The following is a 17,723-nucleotide window of genomic DNA, read 5'->3' as shown; positions in this document are numbered from 1 at the left end:
GTCACCCCCCAGGATGCATGTAGACATCCGGTGAGGGAGTCTCTTGAAGTCTCTGGGATGGTGCCCCTGGGACTGGCTGCCATCTCATGGAGGAGGTCAGAGGTCGCTGGGGCCAGCCCAGGGTGAGGCCGCATTCATCTTCCTGACCCTACAGGCCAATTTGACTTACCCAAGTGGGTTTTGGCCGGCAGGATGAAGTAACCCATCCATTACATGTCAAGAGTTAGGTCTATAAACGGCCTTTATTATAAACATCCAACTCTGCAGGAGGTTTACAAAGCAGGGCTCAGGAGATAAAAGCCGGCTTCCCCAGGTGGCGGCTGCAGGGTGCGGCAGGCAGCCCCAGGGGTGCCCAGGGTGGCGGGGCAGGGGAACCGTAGGGAGGGGGAGAGGGGCACCCAGAAAACCTCTCCTGGAGAACATGGAAGACTCTGCCCACTTCAAATCCCTGCCTGGGGAAGGACACATGGGAATGGGGCCGGGGGAAAAGGCGGGCCACCTCGGGCCTTCGTCACCTGTGTCAGCTCCTAGGGATTGTCTCCTCCTGGTCACTTGGAGAGAACAGGCGTGCTGGACACGTCCACATCTCTGGGCCCGGGGTGTATGAATGACACGCTTGCTCTGGAGTTTCCACCTGGGAGCTGTATGGGGACAGGGCTGTTCCTCCTCACACCCGCTGGGGAAGGGACACAGGCCTCTTGGTGGCCCCCACCATCTCCCAGCACTGCCCATGGCTGTGCCCACGCTGGCTGCCCCCTGAGAGCAGGACGTGTACTCAGGGGCAGCGCCTACCTCTGGGCAGCCCAGGTTTCTCTGCTCCCTGCAGCGGAACGGGCTTCCTAGGGCAGTTCCTGGGGTGGTGTCCCTAGGGCAGCCCCTGAGTGCTGGAGGGGGTCTGGGCCACAGGCCCTGAAACAGGGAGGTGGTGGGGGCAGCGTTCAGGGGGCTGAACCTCAGGGTGAGGCGGGCAGGCGGGGAGCCACAGGCCCGGGGGCCCCGCAGCAGGTGCTCAGCCTCGGAGCCTCCTGCCGCACCCCGGGGCGGGGGCTGGGAGCCCGCCCGAGCCCCTAGCTCTGAGCGACCTGCCAGGTTGGAATGTGTGTTTATCTTTGGCCCAACCCGATTTCCTGCTTTTTAGAAAAGGGGCTTAGAGAGGGTTGTTAGACAGGCTCCAGGCACCCCAACACCCAAAGGCACTTTGAAAACGCCCCTGCACTGACTTCAGTGCGGAGAAGCAAACGGGCTGGAATTTCACTCCCAAACCCCAACATGGGGGTGGCGGGGCCGGGGTGAGGGTTGTGGCTGCCTGCAAAGGTGCCAGGAAATCTGGGGAGGGAGGAACTTCCACCGTTCAGGGAGACCCTGAGGGTGCCCTGGCTTCTGGCCACGTCCCAGACCCTGTTAGGCACCGAGGTCTTCACACCCAGACCCTCCACCCACCCAAGTTTCTGCGGCACGTTTAGGTTGAGTGAAGACCAAGTCATCCAGTTAGAGAAGAGGACTTGAGGCGCGTGCTGCTGCTGTGGCCACGCTGGACCCTCGGTGCACGCATCTCCTGGCGAGTCCCCTGTGGCTCTGTGGGCCGTACACACCCGGGGCACGCGACCTCAGCTACCTTGTCACCGAGGACGTGCATCCACAGCTGTGCGTCTGTGCCTGGGAGCGGGGTCTCCACTTGGTGGGTCTCTGCATGCTGACCAGTTAACCCGCCTTTCCGGGCTGTGGAGGGCGTGGGTCCTGTCCGGCCCGGAGATGCTCCGCGGGGTGTGTGTGTGATCGTGGCCCTGTAGCGGGGTGGTGTTCCCTGGAGGGTGGACCCCTGAGCCTGGCTGTGTGTGGCTGTGTCTCAGCATGAATTCCGTGACCCAGGAGCACGTTTTCAGGCAGGGATTAGGGGCAGCTGGGTGTGGGAGGCAGGCACTTGGTATACCACCGAATGGAGACAGAAAATCCCAACTCTACGAAGGAAGTGAAGTCCCTTCAACAGGGACAAAGCGATGTTTTGGGTCTGACTACAATGCACCCTGGGAAGTCTCAAAGAAAACAGTCGGGGACTCAAGGAGGGCAGCCCCCTCTCCCCGACCCCGAGCTCCCAGGAAGATAAATGATTTCCTCCTCTCTAGAGATGGGGGTGGGATCTGAGCACTCAGAGCCAAGGGCGCAGTGGGTCCGGGCGGGGGCCCTCCTCGGCCCTCCCAACATGGGGGCCAGGAGGTCAGCCCCTCAACCTGGACCCCGGCTGGGTCTCAGGGAATGGTCTCCCCCAGTGGCCCAGCTTGCTTGTGTTTTCAGATGGGTGTGCACGGGTGTGTGTGTGTGTGTGTGTGTGTGTGTGTGTGTGTGTGATGCCTGACAAGCCCCAGAGAGCCAAAGACCTGAGTGGAGATCTTGTGACTTCTCAAAAGGGGGATTGGAAGGTTCGAGAAGGAGCTGTGGTCAGCCTTGCTCTCCCTTAAGGCTGTGGTAACCACACTAGGCATAGCATAGGCCTGCGCCCCGTCCCTCCTTCCCTCCTCCGCGCCTCTCCTTTCTCTTTCTCCCCCCTCTACCCCGCTCCCTGGCCTGCTCCTGGTGACACCGTTGGCCCCCTTCCAGGGCTGAGGGAAGCCAGCGGGGGCCCCTTCCTGGAAGCCCACCTGCAGGCCGGCTTGCTGGGAAGGGGCTGCTCTCGCAGAGGCTCCCGCCCGCCCTGCAGCCGTTTCCTGGAAGCAGTCGCTGTGGGTATTCTGTTCCTTGTCAGCACTGTGCTTGCAAAGAAAGCAGACACTGTGCTCCTTGTCCTTAGGGAGCCCCGCTCCATCACCCAACACCTGGCTGGACACAGGCGGGAGGCCGGGTCCGCGGGGAGCGGCGCGGGGCTGGGGCCGGACCAGTAAACACACACGGGCGCCAGGCACTGCAGGCTCCTCCTCCTCCTCCTGCCCAGCGCCTCTGCTCACAGGCACGTGCCAAGCCCCTAGGCCAGGAGGCCCAGCAGTGGGTGCAGAGCAAGCTCCTGGGAAGGGGGTGCAGGGCGGACCCCCGGGGAGAAGGGCTGGCAGGGCTGTGGGGGACGCTGACCGTGGGCCCCACGTTGCAGAAAACTGGCTGCCTGGCTGGAAGATGGGGGAGATGCCAAGCCTCTGAGGCAGCACGAGCAGGGTGCATGGAGGCCGGGGCGCGGGGAGGCTGCACTGCAGCATGCACCCCAAAGCCCAGAGGGAGTGGAGACCAGGCCCTGGAATCGAGAAGTAGAAAGGCGGCTTGGAGGCCTCGGAACCGGCTGACCTCCAACAGAGTGGGGCCGGCCCTGGAGGCAAAGAGGTGCCCGGGGTCCGGCCCTGCCTGGGGGAGCTATGTGTCATGGGCAGCCACAGGATATGTAGCCAGCTCTGAGCATATGGACCCAGGGCAGGGCTGCAAGGCAGGGCAGGGGAGACAGACGGGGGAGCAAGGAGCAGAGAGGGGGCCTCAGGCTCTCCCAGGAGGAACATTCTCCCGACAGGAGGAAGAGACGGCCCAGGGGTGACTGTGGGGAGCCATGGTGGCAGCTGGGGTCGTGGCAGATGGGAGAGAGGCTGGCGAGGTGAAGGTGCAGGGGTCAGGGCTCTGGGGCCCACATGCCTGTGGGAGCGGGCAGGCCCAGGGCTCTCCGCCACTCCCCACTCCCGCTTGGCTCATAGGCTGGGCCCAAGGGTGGGGTGGGATGAGCAGGAGATGGGGCCCAGGGGGCAAGCAGGGCCCCAAAGACATTTAGAAAAACCGGTTTATGCAGGCAGCATTCAGAGCAGGCGGCGTGCGTGGCGGGGGCCCTGGGAGCACAGAGAGGCACACGTAGGGCCCCCGAGGGTCTCCCCATTGGCCGGCAGTGACATCACCCCTGTGTCAACAGTGATGTCTGCAGCTCCGGCCAGCCAGGGTTTATGGAGCGAGACCCAGCCCGGCCTGGGCCCTCACTCCCCAGGCCCACACACTAGCCCACTGTTCAGGGTCCGGGGTGGCAGCATGGCCTGGGGGTCCTGGCACCGCTGCTCCTCTGCCCACCCTAACTTCCCGGCATGGCGGCTGCCCCCTCTGAGCGTCCCCAACCAGTAAGTGTGGGGCCAGCAGGCCTGCCGTCCTCCTCCTCTTCCCTCTAGAGAGAAACGTGGAGGTCCTGGGGCTGGGGGCGCTCATAGCCCTGTGACACAGGTGCATGGGGTCAGGGGTCCCAGAATGGCCCCTGGGAAGGACCTCAGCTGGGCCGGCGGCTCTAGGCTTCAGGGGTCTGTCTGCACAGGGGCTAGCCCCTCCCAGACCTCTGTGAAGCCAGTACGGGCCTCCCCTCCCTGCCCCGTGCTCTGTCCGGTGCTTCCTGGACTGCACTGCGGGCCACTGGTGAGAGGGTGGACAGGGAAGGGCCGCCGTGGTGCCTGTTCCTGCCCACCTGGCTGTGTGGTCCCCTCCAAGTAGGGACAACCCTTCTGAGGGCTTGGGGGCACCCTGGGGTTGCCAGGGCCTCCCAGAGCCCTGTGAGCCCCTGGGGGGTCTGGCCTGATGCCCCCCTCCACGTCCAGGGCCGGCTGTGGCCCAGAACCCCAGCTTCCCAGCAGGCCGGTGTGCGGTGGTGACCCAGGAGAGGCCTCACCTCCACTGAGGGGCCACCGACCTCTGCCAGGCCACAGAGACCCCCAAGGAGTCTGAAGGCTGGAGACCCGGGGCTGGGACCAGGTGGGACTTTCCCACGGAGCCGCCCCCAGGCCCAGCTGGGGACACGTCCCCCTTCTCTCCAGACACACCCTGCCTGCCACCACGACACACCGGCCTGTTGGGGGTCTCTTTTAAGTGCTTGCCACTCTGAGGTGACTGTCCCTTTCCAAAGAGGTTTCTGGGGCCCAGGTGGGATGCGTCGGCCTGAGCAGGAGGATCTGGGCCGCCAGGGGCTGGGGACTGTCTCCTGGGGAAGGAAGCGCCTGGGAGCGTGTGTGCTGACCCAGGACCATCCAGGGAGGCCCGTCTGTGGGGCAAGCGGGAAGGGAGCGGCTGGAGAGGCTTGGCCGCCCCCGCCCTGCCTCCCATTCCTTAGCTCCATGCCTGTCAACCTCTGTCACCCAGTGAGTGATGTCCAGGGGCCCTGGAAAGGTCACAGCATGTTTGAGCGGGGTGAGAGAGAGGGGAAAGGCGGGGGCGGGGAAAAGTACGTGGAGGAAGCTCTAGGCCCAAGGAAGGAGAAAGGGTTCTGGGAGGGAGGGAGCCACTGGGGCCGCCGGGAAGGTCCCTGCCTGCTGCTGCCACCCAGAACCCTCGCCTCTTAGCTAGCCCCCGCAGCCCCAGCCTTTCTGGCCTGTGCCCCTCTCCCCCATCCCCAGCTGTCCTGTGCAACCAGGCCTTGGACCCAAACCCTCCTGCCCCCTCCTCTCCCTCCTCACCCTCCCAATGCAGTGGTCTCCAGCCTGGCTCTGCCCTGCCGCAGGTCCCCTCCCCTCATTCCAGGCCTAGAGCCTCCAGTCCCGGTGGCCCCCAGCCCGAGGGTGAACGGCCTCACCCTGGGTCGTGGGACAGAGGGCACGTTCATCAAGAGTGGCTCCCAAGGGACACGTGGCTGTTTGCAGTTCACAGGAAGCATTCGAGATAAGGAGCTTGTTTTCCCAGTGGGCACGGAGCCAGCAGGGGGGCTGTGGGGCAGCCCAGGGTCAAGGCCAGGCTGTGGGGCTGCAGCTGCCTTGGGCCCCACTCCCAGGCCTTTGCGGGAGGTGGGAGGCGGGAGGCGGCAGCTGCACAGTGGCCCCAGGCGAGGCTCTCAGCCCCAGTCGCTCTCCGGGTGGGCAGCCCAAGAGGGTCTGGCTGAGCCTCCCACATCTGGGACTCCATCACCCAACAACTTAATTAAGGCTGAATTTCACGTGTCCTGTGACTTGGGTAGACAAAGCCCCTGTCCAAAGGGGCAGCCAGCCTAAGGCAGTGGGGACGGCGTGGGTGGCGGGCGACGGGGGAGATGGACAACAGGACCGAGGGTGTGCGGGCGATGGGGGAGATGGACAACAGGACCGAGGGTGTGCGGGCGATGGGGGAGATGGACAACAGGACCGAGGGTGTGCGGGACACGCATGTCACTCATGCACGCCAATGGGGGGCGTGGGAGGCTGGGGAGCAGACAGACTGGGCTGGGCTGGGCGGGAAGGACGGGCAGATGGGATCCCAAGGACATGGAATTTCGGACCTTCTGTCCCCGCCCTCTCTGCTGAGCCTAGGAACCTCTGAGCAGCAGGAAGGCCTTGGGTCTAGAGCCTAGAAATGGACCCCCACGTCCACCTGCCCAGCCTAGACCCCCAGCATTGAAGGGTGGTCAGACTTCCTGTGAGAGGAAGCCACTAAGCGGGATGGACACCATCGCCCACTCCACCCGGCCCTGCCCAGCCCTGCCCAGTCCAGCCCAGTCCAGCCCAGCCCTGCCCTTCCCAGCCCTGCCCAGCCCAGCTCATCCCTGCCCTACCCAGCCCAGCCCTGTCCTGCCCTGCCCAGCCCAGCCCAGCCCAGCCCTGCCCTGCCCTGCCCTGCCCTTCCCAGCCCTGACCTTCCCAGCCCTGCCCAGCCCAGCTCATCCCTGCCCTACCCAGCTCAGCCCTGCCCTGCCCTGCCCAGCCCTGCCCAGCCCAGCCCTGCCCTGCCCTGCCCAGCTCAGCCCTGCCCACCCCAGCCCAGCCCAGCCCAGCATGCCTTCTCTGGCTGGAGAGCACAGGCTTGACCTTAGAAAGAGGCTGGCAACGAGGGCTGAGGCCACCAGGCCACTGGGTGCTCACGGGTCAGACAAGCCCAGAGCCTGCTCCCCTGCCACGGGTCGGGGCTGTCACCGCCAGCATGCTGTGGATGTGCATGGCCTCAGGGCTGCTGGCTCCAGGCTGCCCCCGCCCTGGCTCCCGAGGCCACCCCTCTTATGCCATGAACCCTGTGCCACACCCACCTCTGAGCTGTCCCCGCTCCTGCCGCCTGCACCCCCTGAGCAGCCCCCTGTGTGTTTCATGGGAGTCTTAGCAAGGAAGGGGAGCTCTTCAATCTTGCCAGTCAGGGTGCTGTCTGCTGAGTAAGTGTCCCCGTGCTGTGCCCCAATGTCCCCATCCTTTGGCAAACAGCCATCAGCCTGTGGATCCTGCACTCCCATGCGGTGGGAGAGGGAGACCTGGGCTCACCTGAGCCTCCCCACAAGCCAGGGAGAGGGGCTGCCCAATGGCGGGAGGCCCCCATGGATCCCAAACGGCAGTTGCCCGCACTCCTACCCAGGAACTTTGTCTGTGATGAACAGTAAGGAATAAGGAAGCGGGTGAGAAAGAAGGAAGGAAAGGCGGTGGGGGGCATGGCGGGGGGCGGGGAGGGTGTTTGGAAAGTTCCAGAAAAGAGTCACTTCACCAGAAAGGCCACAAGCTCCCCGTGCCCCCAGCCCCTGCTCGGCTCCGAGGTGAAGGACTTGGAGCGTCGACGCTGGCGTGGGGACCAGCTGTTCTCCTTGAGTTTGTTTCCTTCAGTTCCTTCCGGGCCTCACCCTCCTCTTCCTGCCACACACACACTTTTTTCCTTTTTAAATTGTTTTATTTGGGGCCAGGTGTGGTGGCTCACACCTGTAATCTCAGTATTTTAGAAGGCCAAGGTGGGCAGATTGCTTGAGTCCAGGAGTTGGAGACCAGCCTGGGCAACATAGTGAGACCCCATCTCTACCAAATATCAGCCAGGTGCGGCGGCGCGCACCTGTATTCCCAGCTATGTGGGAGACTGAGGTGAGAGGATCACGTGAGCCCAGGAGGTTGAGGCTGCAGCAAGCCATGATCATACCACTGCACTCCAGCCTGGGCAAGAGAGTGACACCCTGTCTCAAAAAAAAAAAAAAGTAGAAAAATTTATTTTAAAAAATTGTTTTAACATTTGAGTGCTGCAACTGTCCAAGGAGGAGCAGACGGCCCGTGTCAGACAGCCTGAAGCCTGACTGTCTGCGATCAACGGCCCCGTGGCCAGCTGTGTGCAGCAGTTTGGCCTGGCCTGATGCCTCTGTCCTTGGCACCAGCTCACAGCCCGTGCCCATAACAGACCTGGGGCACCGAAGGAAGGGCAGATCCAGCCCCCACCTGCCCTGGGTCTGAAGATCTCCCAGGAGGCTCCATGGGGTGCCTTGAGTGGGAGGGGCTGGCCGATAGCCTTGAGGAATTGGCACGGACATGCAGAGAGGGGCATGTCCCAAACTCGGGGCGCTGTGGCCTCCAGCTGCCAGGAGGTAGATGTGTTCTGACTTCTGGGTTCCCACCACCAGAACTGCAGGGGATATGAAGCAAGCTGGACTTGGGGAGACATCTCTGCTCGAGTGCACGTTGGCCTGATGACGACTGCTCTTGGGTTCACGGGTTCCAGGCTCTGCCCGGGAGCCTCATGCAAACTGGTCCCGTTCTACAGACGAGGAAACTGAGGCACAGAGTGATTACGGCTGTCCCTGAGCTCCTGCAGCCAGTAAGGTGATACACCAGGATGTGTTCCCAGGTTGTCCGCTGGGCTCAGTAACACAGTCTCAACTGCCCTGTGACACTGCGTGTCTGTGCTTGTGGGGAAGGTGACCAGAGGCCCCCTTTCCTCCACGCGGTGAGCCTACCAGCAAGGAGACAGTCCTCAGGTGTGAGGATGAGCCTCGTAGTAGGCACAGAGAAACAGGAGGAACCTTCTGGAAGGTGAAGCCTCCCACGGCTGGGACTCTTGGAGAAGGGCGGATCTCTGTCCACTCCTGCCCACTCCCCAGCACAGACAGAGCAAGCAGGACAGAGGGCCCAACGTCCCAGGATACTGCAGAGCTCAAAGGAGGGCAGAGAGCATCGCCCCACATGGGCGCCGGGAGAAAGGTGGGCGGGGTGCTCAGGGGCCCCTGGCCGTCCTGAAGTTTGCCTCAGAGAGGTGTGGGCTTCTCCTCCCTCCCATACACAGTGTCTCTGAGGATGAACTGCCATGTGCCCGGCGGGGATGCCGTCCCTGGCCCTTGCTGAGTGCCTCTGGGACGAGGTCAGCTGAGCCTGCCATCCTAACTCAGACACCATCTCACTCTCCAAGTCCCTTCTCGGTGAGACGGGGGGCCTTGCACCCACCTCCCAGCCCCCACACACCTGAGGGGGTCCCCGTTCCCCTACCCCGTGGCTCCACCACGCCCCACGCATCCTACCTGAGGGACAGAGGGGACTGTGAGATGCCCCCCACAGGCTGGTTTTCCTCTTTCACCCATAACAGGCCCAGCAAATTCTCACCTCCAGAGGCCAGGTCTGCCCCGCAGGTCTTAGGAAATACAGCCCTACTTCCATCCAGCACACCAACCCAAGGAAGTGCCTCGGAGCCCTGGGGCCCGAGGGGGGCCTGGCCTTGGTCTCACGGCGGCAGCTCCACCTGGAGAGGAGTGAACTCAAGCCAGGACGCCCCGTCTCCACAGCGGAAACCGTGTTGCCGGCTGCTCCCTCCTGGGGACTCTGGGCCTGAGGTTCCTGTGGGAGTTGGGGGGATAGCTGAGTCCTATGGAGGTGCCCCTCTCCTCCCCGCCCAGTGGAGCTTGGGGTGGGGACAGGCGAAGACAGGGTGAGAAGCACGGGGCATTCCCCCTCCACACAGCGCTGAGAAAGTAAGGGAGCATCCAGAAAACGGTGCCCACTTCCGCGTCAGGCGGATATCACGGGCACCAGCTCCAGGTGACCCTAGCCCAGCCAGAGAACAAGGACCAGGTTGTGCCGCAAAGCCCGTGTCCGCTCCCTCCCGCCTGGGACCACTGTGGCGAGGGGAAGGGAGCGTGGTGGCCCTCTCCTGACTCCTGAGGCCTGAAGTCCAAGCTCCCGGCCCTCAGGCAGGCCAGGGTCTAGACACCGCTGCCCCAAACACACCCCCCAGTCCCCGCCCGCAGGCTTCCTGCAGGATCCCCCAGTGCACCTGGGGGCTGAGGAGAGTGAGCAGGGCGCAAAGAAGCTTCGTCGGGAGGGCGGTCCCCACCCGCCTTGGACCCCCGGGGATAGTGTCCTGGGGCCTGGGCTCAGATGCACCCTGGGAGGAATGGTGCGGAGGCTGTTTTTTGCTCCAAGAGGACATTGCCTCAGCAGAGGGCTGCCGAGCTGGGAGGACCCACAGTGCAAGGCCGCAGAACCCCCTAGGAAGCCTCAGAGCCTTCAGGTTCCGGGCTGAGGCTGTGGGCGTGGACCCTTGTGCAAACCCCACTGGAAGAAAAACCTTACAGCTCAGGAGGAGGAGGGGCCCCACCCGCTCCCAGAGCCCGTAAACGAGGGGTGGTGCCCACATGAGGCCTGGGGAAGGGCTGGGGCTGGGACACCCCCTCACCACCCCCAGATACCCCAGGCAGCCCCTCCCTCCACAGAGAGACCCACTGGGCCTGACCCTGCCCTGGGCACAGGGTCGAGCCAGGGACGGCCCGTGGGAGAAAGACGGCTTCATGGGCCGCTGGCCGGGCCAGGTGCGTCCTTCCCCAGTTCTAGGTGGCAAATGGGGTGGGGCCAGAGCCTTCTGGCTAGGGAAGACACTGGCCTGGTTGGTGTGGCAGGGGCAGCGAAGGAGGGTCAAAGGCCACTCTGGCCTGGAAGAGTCCCCAGCCACCTGGACGGGGGTAGCCAGGCCTGGTCCCTGCCCCCACTCTCCAAGGGGTCGGGGCAGCCGGGCAGAGCCAGTAAGTGTTTGTTTTCAGATGACATTTGTAAAGAAAAACAGCCTCCCACACTGCTTGACCCTGTGTCTGGAATGTGGGGAGGCAAACAGCTGTGCCCTTCCCAGACCCTGCACAGCCCCTGGTGGGGGCAGGGCCCTGGTGGGAGCAGGGCCCAGAGGTACAGCCTGGGGAGGCACCGGCCATTGTGGTTGGAGCGCGGCAGCCAGGCTCTGGGCTCTGTTCCGGGCCTCACTGTGTCCCCAGTGGGGTGCCGCCACCACCCCCCCAGCCTGGGCCCCGCCGGTCAGACACCCGCAGGGACAGCTTGTCTTGGCTAGCTGGCTACAGCACCTCGCTGGAGTCCAGCAGACACGCGCTCCCGTGCGCACGCTGCGCCCCAGGCCAGCCCTAACGCCGCTGCTCGGGTCAGGCCCCCCGCCTGCCGTGGGCTGCTGGCTGCCTTGGCCCGCCCCAGCTCTCTCCGCGCCCCTGCCTCCAGGGAGCCCTCCTCGAGGACTCCAGCCACCCAAGCTCAGCAGGGCCAGCCCGAGCCCCTGCCCCACACAGCCTGTGTGGAGGGTCCTCAGCCCCCTGATCCCCCAGACCCTCCCGGCAGAGGCTGGGTCCCTGGGGCTTGGGGAAAGCCGGCTCCATGGCCCCTGGCCTGGATGATTTCCCAGAGGCCGGTCCCCTGCCAAGTGCCTGGTGACCCTTGTTCCTACCTGGCTGCCCATGGTCCTTTGTGCGACCCCCGCCCACAGCCCAGGAGCTGGGCAGGAGACTCTGATTGGGTGGCAGCAGAGCCATCCTAGGGCTGCCCCTGACCCTGGCCCTGACCCTGCCCTGGAGCCTCGTTTCCAAATCTTGCCTCATGCTTTCGCCAGACCCCTGTGGCCCCTTCCCGACCCTGGAGTGCCCCTGGGGCTTCCTGGAAAGGGCCTCTCCTTTGCTCACAGTTGGGTGCCGAACTTCACCAGCATTGACCACCCGAAGGCGCAGGGACACCCCCGCAGTCCCTCTCCTGGGGGTCCCATCACCAACTCCCCATGGGCGGGATATCAGAAGAATTCTCTGCGCAGGTGCTCCGCCCCTTCAGGCACAGGGGAGGGCGGCTCAGGGGCCAACGGCAGACGTTGGTGCCTGCCCCTGCAGCGGGGTGCCCCATGCTGAGACAGCACACACGGGGGACACTCCGGGCCTCGGTCCACCCTCCATGTGGCAAATGAGGTGCTTGGCGGGGCTTCTTAACTCTTCACCCTGGGCTCCCCACGGGTCCCTTCCCTTCCCCTTGGGGGCCCCGGCCCCAGGTCCCCAAGGCCTAGACCTGCCTCTGCCACCCTCAGAGCAAGGATGCGCTGCAGAGGGAGAGGGGCTGCAGCTCGGCCCCAGAGCTCCGGCTTCCTGTCTCCCAGACCACAAATCACTAAAGGCCGTGGGTCCTGGGACATTGAAGGCCCAGGAAGCTCCTTGTGTTGAGTTAAACATAGTGGAGCAGAGGCATGGAGCTGGCATTTCCCACGCTTACGACCACTCTGCTACGGGCTGGGGTGGGGCTGGGAATCAGCTTCCCCTGCGCCCCGCCATCCCTTGTCCAGAGGGACCCGTGGGAAGGCCAGGTTGAAGAGTTAAGAAGCCCCGCCGAGCACCTCATTTGCCACACGGAGGGCGGACCGAGGCCCGGAGTGTCCCTCTTGCGCACTGTCTCAGCATGGGGCACCCCGCTGCAGGGGCAGGCACCAACGTCTGCTGCTGGCCCCTGAGCCACCCTCCCCTGTGCCTGAAGGCCCAGCACTTCCAGGGCTGCCCGAGCTGAGGACCTGTGCAGAGAACTCTTCTACACCCCACAGAGGAGGCTGAGGGGTCGAGGCGGCTGCGGGAGCCCCAGGGGGCCACCACACAGCCATGCCTGCCCCTCTCCTCGGTGGGTGTAGAAAGCTCTTAAATGGTGGAAAAACAAGGGCATGGCCACATTGCACAGGCACAGAAGGTTCCAGAAGGAGTGAAACAATGGCATGGAGGGAGCAGAGCCTGGGCCGGTGGGGGCACAGGGATGAGGCCAGTGAAGGCCACGGGTTGGGGGGTGCCCTGAAGCCAACGACCCCATCCTTATCGCCTGTGTCTCTCTGCACACAGCGTCTCGTCTGCAAAGTTAGCTGAGCAAACGCCAGGAGCCAAGGGTCGAGGCAACGATATCCGTGGGGCCACTCCACACCCCCTCTGCCTGCCCCATCAAGACCTGCTTTCCTGGTTGAAATCCAACTCACGATTTGCCCCCGGGGGCCCAGCAGCCCTACCCAATGGAGCAGCTGCACCCACATTGCCCAGCTTCCCAGGCGGACAGGGGCTTGGTGAGCCTTCCTGTCCCCACTGGAGCATGGCCGGAGTGATTTTCTGCTTCTGCTGCAGATCACCCTGGTGGGAGCAGCTGTAATCGCATTATCCCCAGTTATGCCTCCACTGGGCACTGGGGTAGGGACAGGACTGCCAGGACACGATTCCATTTACCTAACGCCAGTGGAGCCCTGGGGGCTCTCCTAGGTCCACGGGGAGGGGTGGCCATCTCTCTAGGCCCAGGGACCCCAGGACAGGGGTAGAAAACCACGGGAGAGTTAAGGAGTTAAGGCCAGAAGGGGCCAGTCCGGCCAAGTGGGGCAAAGCTGTCCACCGTTGGGCAGGGCATGACTGAGGGGCGGTGTGGGGAACAGCTGCTCATCTCCCCCAGGCCCATGCCCGTGATGAACTGTGTGACTACCCCCAGGATCAGTCAGGAAGCTTGGCCCAGGAGCCTGTGCAGACCTAACAGCCAGCTCCAGCCCCGAGGCAGGGCAGCTGTGCTCCAGAGGGCTCCCGGGGCCGCACTGTCCCTCCCAGGTGGACACCCTCGTGGCACGTACGCCCCTGCTCTCAGCCCTCTCCTTCACTGGATGGAGAGACTCGGGACCCGCAGAGGTGGGTGGCGGGCAGAGGAGGTGGAGCTGGTCTGAGACGCAAGACGTGGCCTGTGGATTCTAGGAGCAACTGGTGGCTTCCAAGGTCCCCCACCCACTCCACACATGTTCCCAAACCCCGTTTTGCAGATGAGGATGGCAGGCTCAGCACAGGGGCCCATGTCTCTGTCACCAGGCAAGGTGGGGGGGCTCTAGGGCCAGAATCGCTCCCACCTCCAGCCGGGGATCAGAGGTCTCTGGTTAGCAGCCGAGGCGAGCGGGACACAGGCTGAGGGATGGGGACAGCTGCTCGCCCGGCACAGACAAGGCTCCCCTCCCCATGCTGGAGACCCCGGCTGCCCCATCAGTCACGGCCCACCCAGGACCATGCAATCATCCTCCACTTCTCCTAATCCTCCTGCCAGCTTCTTCCCAAGAGTCCAAGCAGTTGGATGCATTTTCTAAATTCTCAGGCCACTGCTGTTTCCTCCTCAAATTCCTTGTCCCCCACCCGTGGCCCCCTCCCAGCCATGGGAAAGGACTGCTGCGGCCTCCCCACAGGCCTGTGCACGGGTGGGGCTGCGTCCAGGCAGCTGTGAGGTACCGGGGACCCAGGGGTAAGAGCCCCGATTACAGGGGCGTCATGGGAAAGTGGCGAGGGGAGGCCACCCAGGGCCCCCACCACAGCCCCGCTCCACATCCTCCCCTGATCTCTGGCCCTGGAAAGAATCAGATGGGACCCCCAGCAGCAGTCACTTGAGTCCCACTGCCACCGGCTGTGCTGAGGATGCCCACTGGGCCGTGCTGTGGCCACCTGGCTTGCAGTGTGGGCACCAAGGTATCGGCCCAGATTCCTACCCATCAGAGCACCAGCACAGGGCCGAGCCAGTGCCACAGAGCCCCTGGGCTGCAGCACGTCCTGCACGTCCCACAGACCGGCCTGCCGGGAGGGAGGGGTGCTGCCCAGGGCTCGGTGCCCTCCCGGAAGGGGCTTCAGTGGGGCTGTTTGCCAGGTGGTGGCTCTGACGCAGGAGAGGACAGATGGGCAGAGCCCGAGGGCAGCCCTGGCCAGGTGCGTACAGTGGTGGCTGTGACGCCCTCTCCCACGCCTGTCTCTGGGTCCAGGAGGAGTGATGATCTCCAGGCTCCAGAGGACTAGGAACAGCAGGCAGGCTCGCTGCTGATAACGGGGACTTCTCCACCTGGTGGGGAGTGATGAGGCAAGACCGGATGGCAGGCCCCAGGCCTCTCCTCTCCAGGGACAGCCATCATCTCCTCGCCTGTGCAGGTCTCAATCAGTCAGTGATTACGCAACCAGCAACCAGCACTTTATTGCCGGTTGTGAAGATCTGGAGGACATGCGGGTCCCCGGGGCCACAGCCTTCCCGCATGGGTGAGCAGTAAGCTGTGCAATTAGCCCTCAGGCCGTCATCGCCAGGCCCTGCCTTTGTTCCTCCACCTGCCGCCCGCCGGAAGCCTCCCACAACCTGGCCAGCCTGCTCTTTCTCCCCCTCCACTCTGACCCCTTCCTCCTCAGGGCCCTGACATGCAGCTATCTGGCACCCAGTTTCAATACCTTTTTCTTTCTTTTTTTTTTTTTGAGACAGAGTTTCACTCTGGTTGCCCAGGCTGGAGTGCAATGGCTCGATTTCGGCTCACCGCAACCTCCGCCTCCTGGGTCCAAGTGATTCTCCTGCCTCAGCCTCTGAGTAGCTGGGATTACAGACATGCGCCACTACGCCCAGCTAGTTTTGTATTTTTTGTAGAGACACGGTTTCACCATGTTGGTCAGGCTGGTCTTGAACTCCTGACCTCTGGTGATCCACCCACCTCGGCCTCCCAAAGTGCTGAGATTACAGGTATGAGCCACCGAGCCGGGACTTCTTTTCTTTTCTTTTTCTTTTTTCCAGCCCTCAACTATCCGTTTCATTAAAAAATTCAGAATTCTCTCCCCTGCCTGCCAGGATGGGACCCAAAACTCGGGCAATAGGCCTGCCCGAGTTGTGGCCCTGGGCCTGTCCCCGACAAGTCACCCTACGTTTTCCATTCCACCATCCTCTCTCTGCACCTCAAGCACCGTGAACCCTCTCCCACCTGCCTGACCTCGCCGTCTCCAAAGGAGAACCTTTCTTGTGTCATCCCGCCCTCTCTAGGCCCGCCGTCTGCCTGGGGGCTGCCCTGGTGGCTGTGCTGTGTCTCCCACTGCTGTGCGCACGGTGCTGCCTGCTCTTTGCCTCAGAGGCACTGGAGCCCATGTGCTCGGGGGGGTGTGGCCTTCGAACACTGTGAGTCCCCACATCTTGCCTCCAGAGGCCACAGCTGGCCTGGGCCAAGCCTGGGCCACTTCCTCTGCAGTGACCAAGAGCAGGGCTGCCTCGAGGGTTTCGGGGCAGGAGAGAGGGAACAAATCTCCTGGAGGCAGATGGGGGCCACAGGGAGGCTGGAGGCCTGGAACCCCTCCCAGAGAGCCAGTGGAGGGATGCTGCCTGGCAGATGGGAGATGGCAGGCGGGTGCTCCAGGGGCTCCTCCCTCCTTGTAGCACCTTGGACATGTTTTGTTTTATTATGGTGAAAATATGTAACAAAACTAGCCATTATAGCCATTGAGCCACTGAGCCACGGAGCCACGGAGCCACGGAGCCATGGAGCACACACATCAGTGGCACTCAGTCCATTCTCACTGCTGCGCAGCCATCGCCACCATCCACCTCAGACCTCCTCCCTCTTCCCAAACTGAAGCTCCCTGAAGGTGCCCAGCCTCCTTGCCAGTAGATGAGATGGGGAGGCAGCCCTGCTCGACCAAGGAGGCAGAAGTCTTGATTGTTCTCCCTACAGTCCCACGGGAAGCACCTGCAGCAGGGCCCTGGCTGGACAGACGGCCACAAGGGGTGTGGTGCAGTGATCGGGTGCCCTGGCCTGGGCAGGAGAGTGGCGCCCTTGGCCTGCCCAGCCCCTGCCCTGCGGCCCGCCTGACAGCCGAGGGGAGCTTCACCTTCCAGCCTCTGGCTGTCATTAGCTGCTCCCGGTGGGAGGTGGGACCGGCAGGGGAAGCTCAGTCCCACAGCCAGTGAGGATCCAGGCTCAAGCGGAACCACCTGGACCTCATTATTCTTAAGTGGTCCAGTCTGAAAGTTTGGGAAGAGGGGAGGAAAAAACTGCCAATCCCCACGCCTGGGGAGCCCCACCCCCTCTTCAAGCCAGCACTGAAGCCCTGGGGGTTTCAGCCACAATGGAGAGCTAAACCGGGCCCACCCCAGGGCCCAGGAGGGGCATCTGTAGAGGGTTCAGCCCCAGGAGGACTTGGAGGTCAGGCAAGCCAACGGGAGTTCAGAGCTTAGGAGGGGTGAGAGGTCAGACTCTGGTCCTTTCTCATCACCTGGGGTCCGTCTGTCCTTCCAGGTCACCTGGGGTGTCTACAGTCAAGGCCAGTCTGACAGGTGGGATGGTGCTTCCCAGCAACCCCACCCTGAGGAGAACCCTGCTGCCTCTCCCTGCTCTCCACCCCCAGCACAGGCCCCGGGAAGCCTCCAGCTGATGACGACACCAGGACGGTGCTGAGTGGACCCTGGGGCCAGCATCACAAGGCACCCAGGACCCCAGACCACCCAGCCACACCCCAGGCTACGAGGAGGGGGCGCTCCGGCGAGGCTGGGGTGCCTTCAAGGTGCATCCTAGCAACATCCTCCACCTGCAGGAGGGACACTCGGTCACAGCTTGGGGAGGATGTGCTCAGACGGCATAGGAAGGATTTGCTCAGACCCCATGGGGAGGATTTGCTCAGACCCCGTGGGGAGGACTTGCTCAGACCCCATGGGGAGGACTTGCTCAGAACCCATGGGGAGGACATGCTCAGACCCCGTGGGGAGGACATAGACCCCGTGGGGAGGACTTGCTCAGACCCCGTGGGGAGGACATGCTCAGACCCCATGGGGAGGACTTGCTCAGACCCCGTGGAGAGGACATGCTCAGACCCCGTGGGGAGGACATGATCAGACCCCGTGGGGAGGACTTGCTCAGACCCCGTGGGGAGGACATGCTCAGACCCCGTGGGGAGGACTTGCTCAGACCCCGTGGGGAGGACTTGCTCAGACCCTGTGGGGAGGACATGCTCAGAACCCATGGGGAGGACTTGCTCAGACGGCATAGGAAGGATTTGCTCAGACCCCATGGGGAGGATT

General features: G+C 63.5%; 1 protein-coding gene and 2 long non-coding RNA genes across 5 annotated transcripts in view, besides 5 other annotated features; 1 reads left to right on the top strand and 2 right to left on the bottom strand.

Moving 5' to 3' along the window:
• Positions 1 to 17,723, bottom strand: part of MRPL23 (mitochondrial ribosomal protein L23) — a 67,613-nt gene that overhangs the window by 21,049 nt on the left and 28,841 nt on the right. Inside the window, exon 6 of one of the 3 annotated variants that reach the window (NM_001400179.1) lies at positions 7,521 to 9,458. The exons of the other annotated variants lie outside the window; for them this stretch is intronic. Within the exon in view, the coding sequence (NP_001387108.1) occupies positions 9,380 to 9,458 (79 nt within the window). The 3' untranslated portion in view covers positions 7,521 to 9,379. Of the gene's footprint in view, positions 1 to 7,520; positions 9,459 to 17,723 lie in introns of those variants that run through there. 3 annotated transcript variants of the gene reach the window in all.
• LINC01219 (long intergenic non-protein coding RNA 1219) lies at positions 427 to 2,800 on the bottom strand. The gene is made up of 3 exons (NR_126400.1): positions 2,637 to 2,800; positions 1,616 to 1,958; positions 427 to 641 (listed from the first exon to the last, which is right to left on the bottom strand). It is a non-coding gene; the product is annotated as a long intergenic non-protein coding RNA 1219 (long non-coding RNA).
• Positions 2,087 to 6,157: an enhancer, noted in NCBI's record as "4.1 kb enhancer fragment". NCBI's record gives the evidence for it as "EXISTENCE:reporter gene assay evidence [ECO:0000049][PMID:10413100]".
• Positions 2,087 to 7,006: an enhancer, noted in NCBI's record as "5.0 kb enhancer fragment". NCBI's record gives the evidence for it as "EXISTENCE:reporter gene assay evidence [ECO:0000049][PMID:9720909, PMID:10413100]".
• Positions 3,976 to 10,687, top strand: MRPL23-AS1 (MRPL23 antisense RNA 1). Its single transcript, NR_024471.1, has 4 exons — positions 3,976 to 4,070; positions 8,255 to 8,453; positions 8,914 to 9,046; positions 9,211 to 10,687. It is a non-coding gene; the product is annotated as an MRPL23 antisense RNA 1 (long non-coding RNA).
• Positions 6,152 to 7,006: an enhancer, noted in NCBI's record as "0.9 kb enhancer fragment". NCBI's record gives the evidence for it as "EXISTENCE:reporter gene assay evidence [ECO:0000049][PMID:10413100]".
• Positions 9,718 to 10,487: an enhancer, noted in NCBI's record as "H3K27ac-H3K4me1 hESC enhancer chr11:2004639-2005408 (GRCh37/hg19 assembly coordinates)". NCBI's record gives its function as "activates a minimal SCP1, AML or CMV promoter by ChIP-STARR-seq in naive H9 embryonic stem cells {active_cell/tissue: H9 hESC(naive)}" and the evidence as "EXISTENCE:reporter gene assay evidence [ECO:0000049][PMID:30033119]".
• Positions 11,256 to 12,025: an enhancer, noted in NCBI's record as "H3K27ac-H3K4me1 hESC enhancer chr11:2003101-2003870 (GRCh37/hg19 assembly coordinates)". NCBI's record gives its function as "activates a minimal SCP1, AML or CMV promoter by ChIP-STARR-seq in naive H9 embryonic stem cells {active_cell/tissue: H9 hESC(naive)}" and the evidence as "EXISTENCE:reporter gene assay evidence [ECO:0000049][PMID:30033119]".

This window comes from Homo sapiens, chromosome 11, assembly GCF_000001405.40.
Source record: "Homo sapiens chromosome 11, GRCh38.p14 Primary Assembly".
In the NCBI taxonomy this organism is placed as follows: domain Eukaryota; kingdom Metazoa; phylum Chordata; class Mammalia; order Primates; family Hominidae; genus Homo; species Homo sapiens.
The sequence above is the reverse complement of the archived record's forward strand: the minus strand, read 5'-3'. Positions and strand labels throughout refer to the sequence as shown.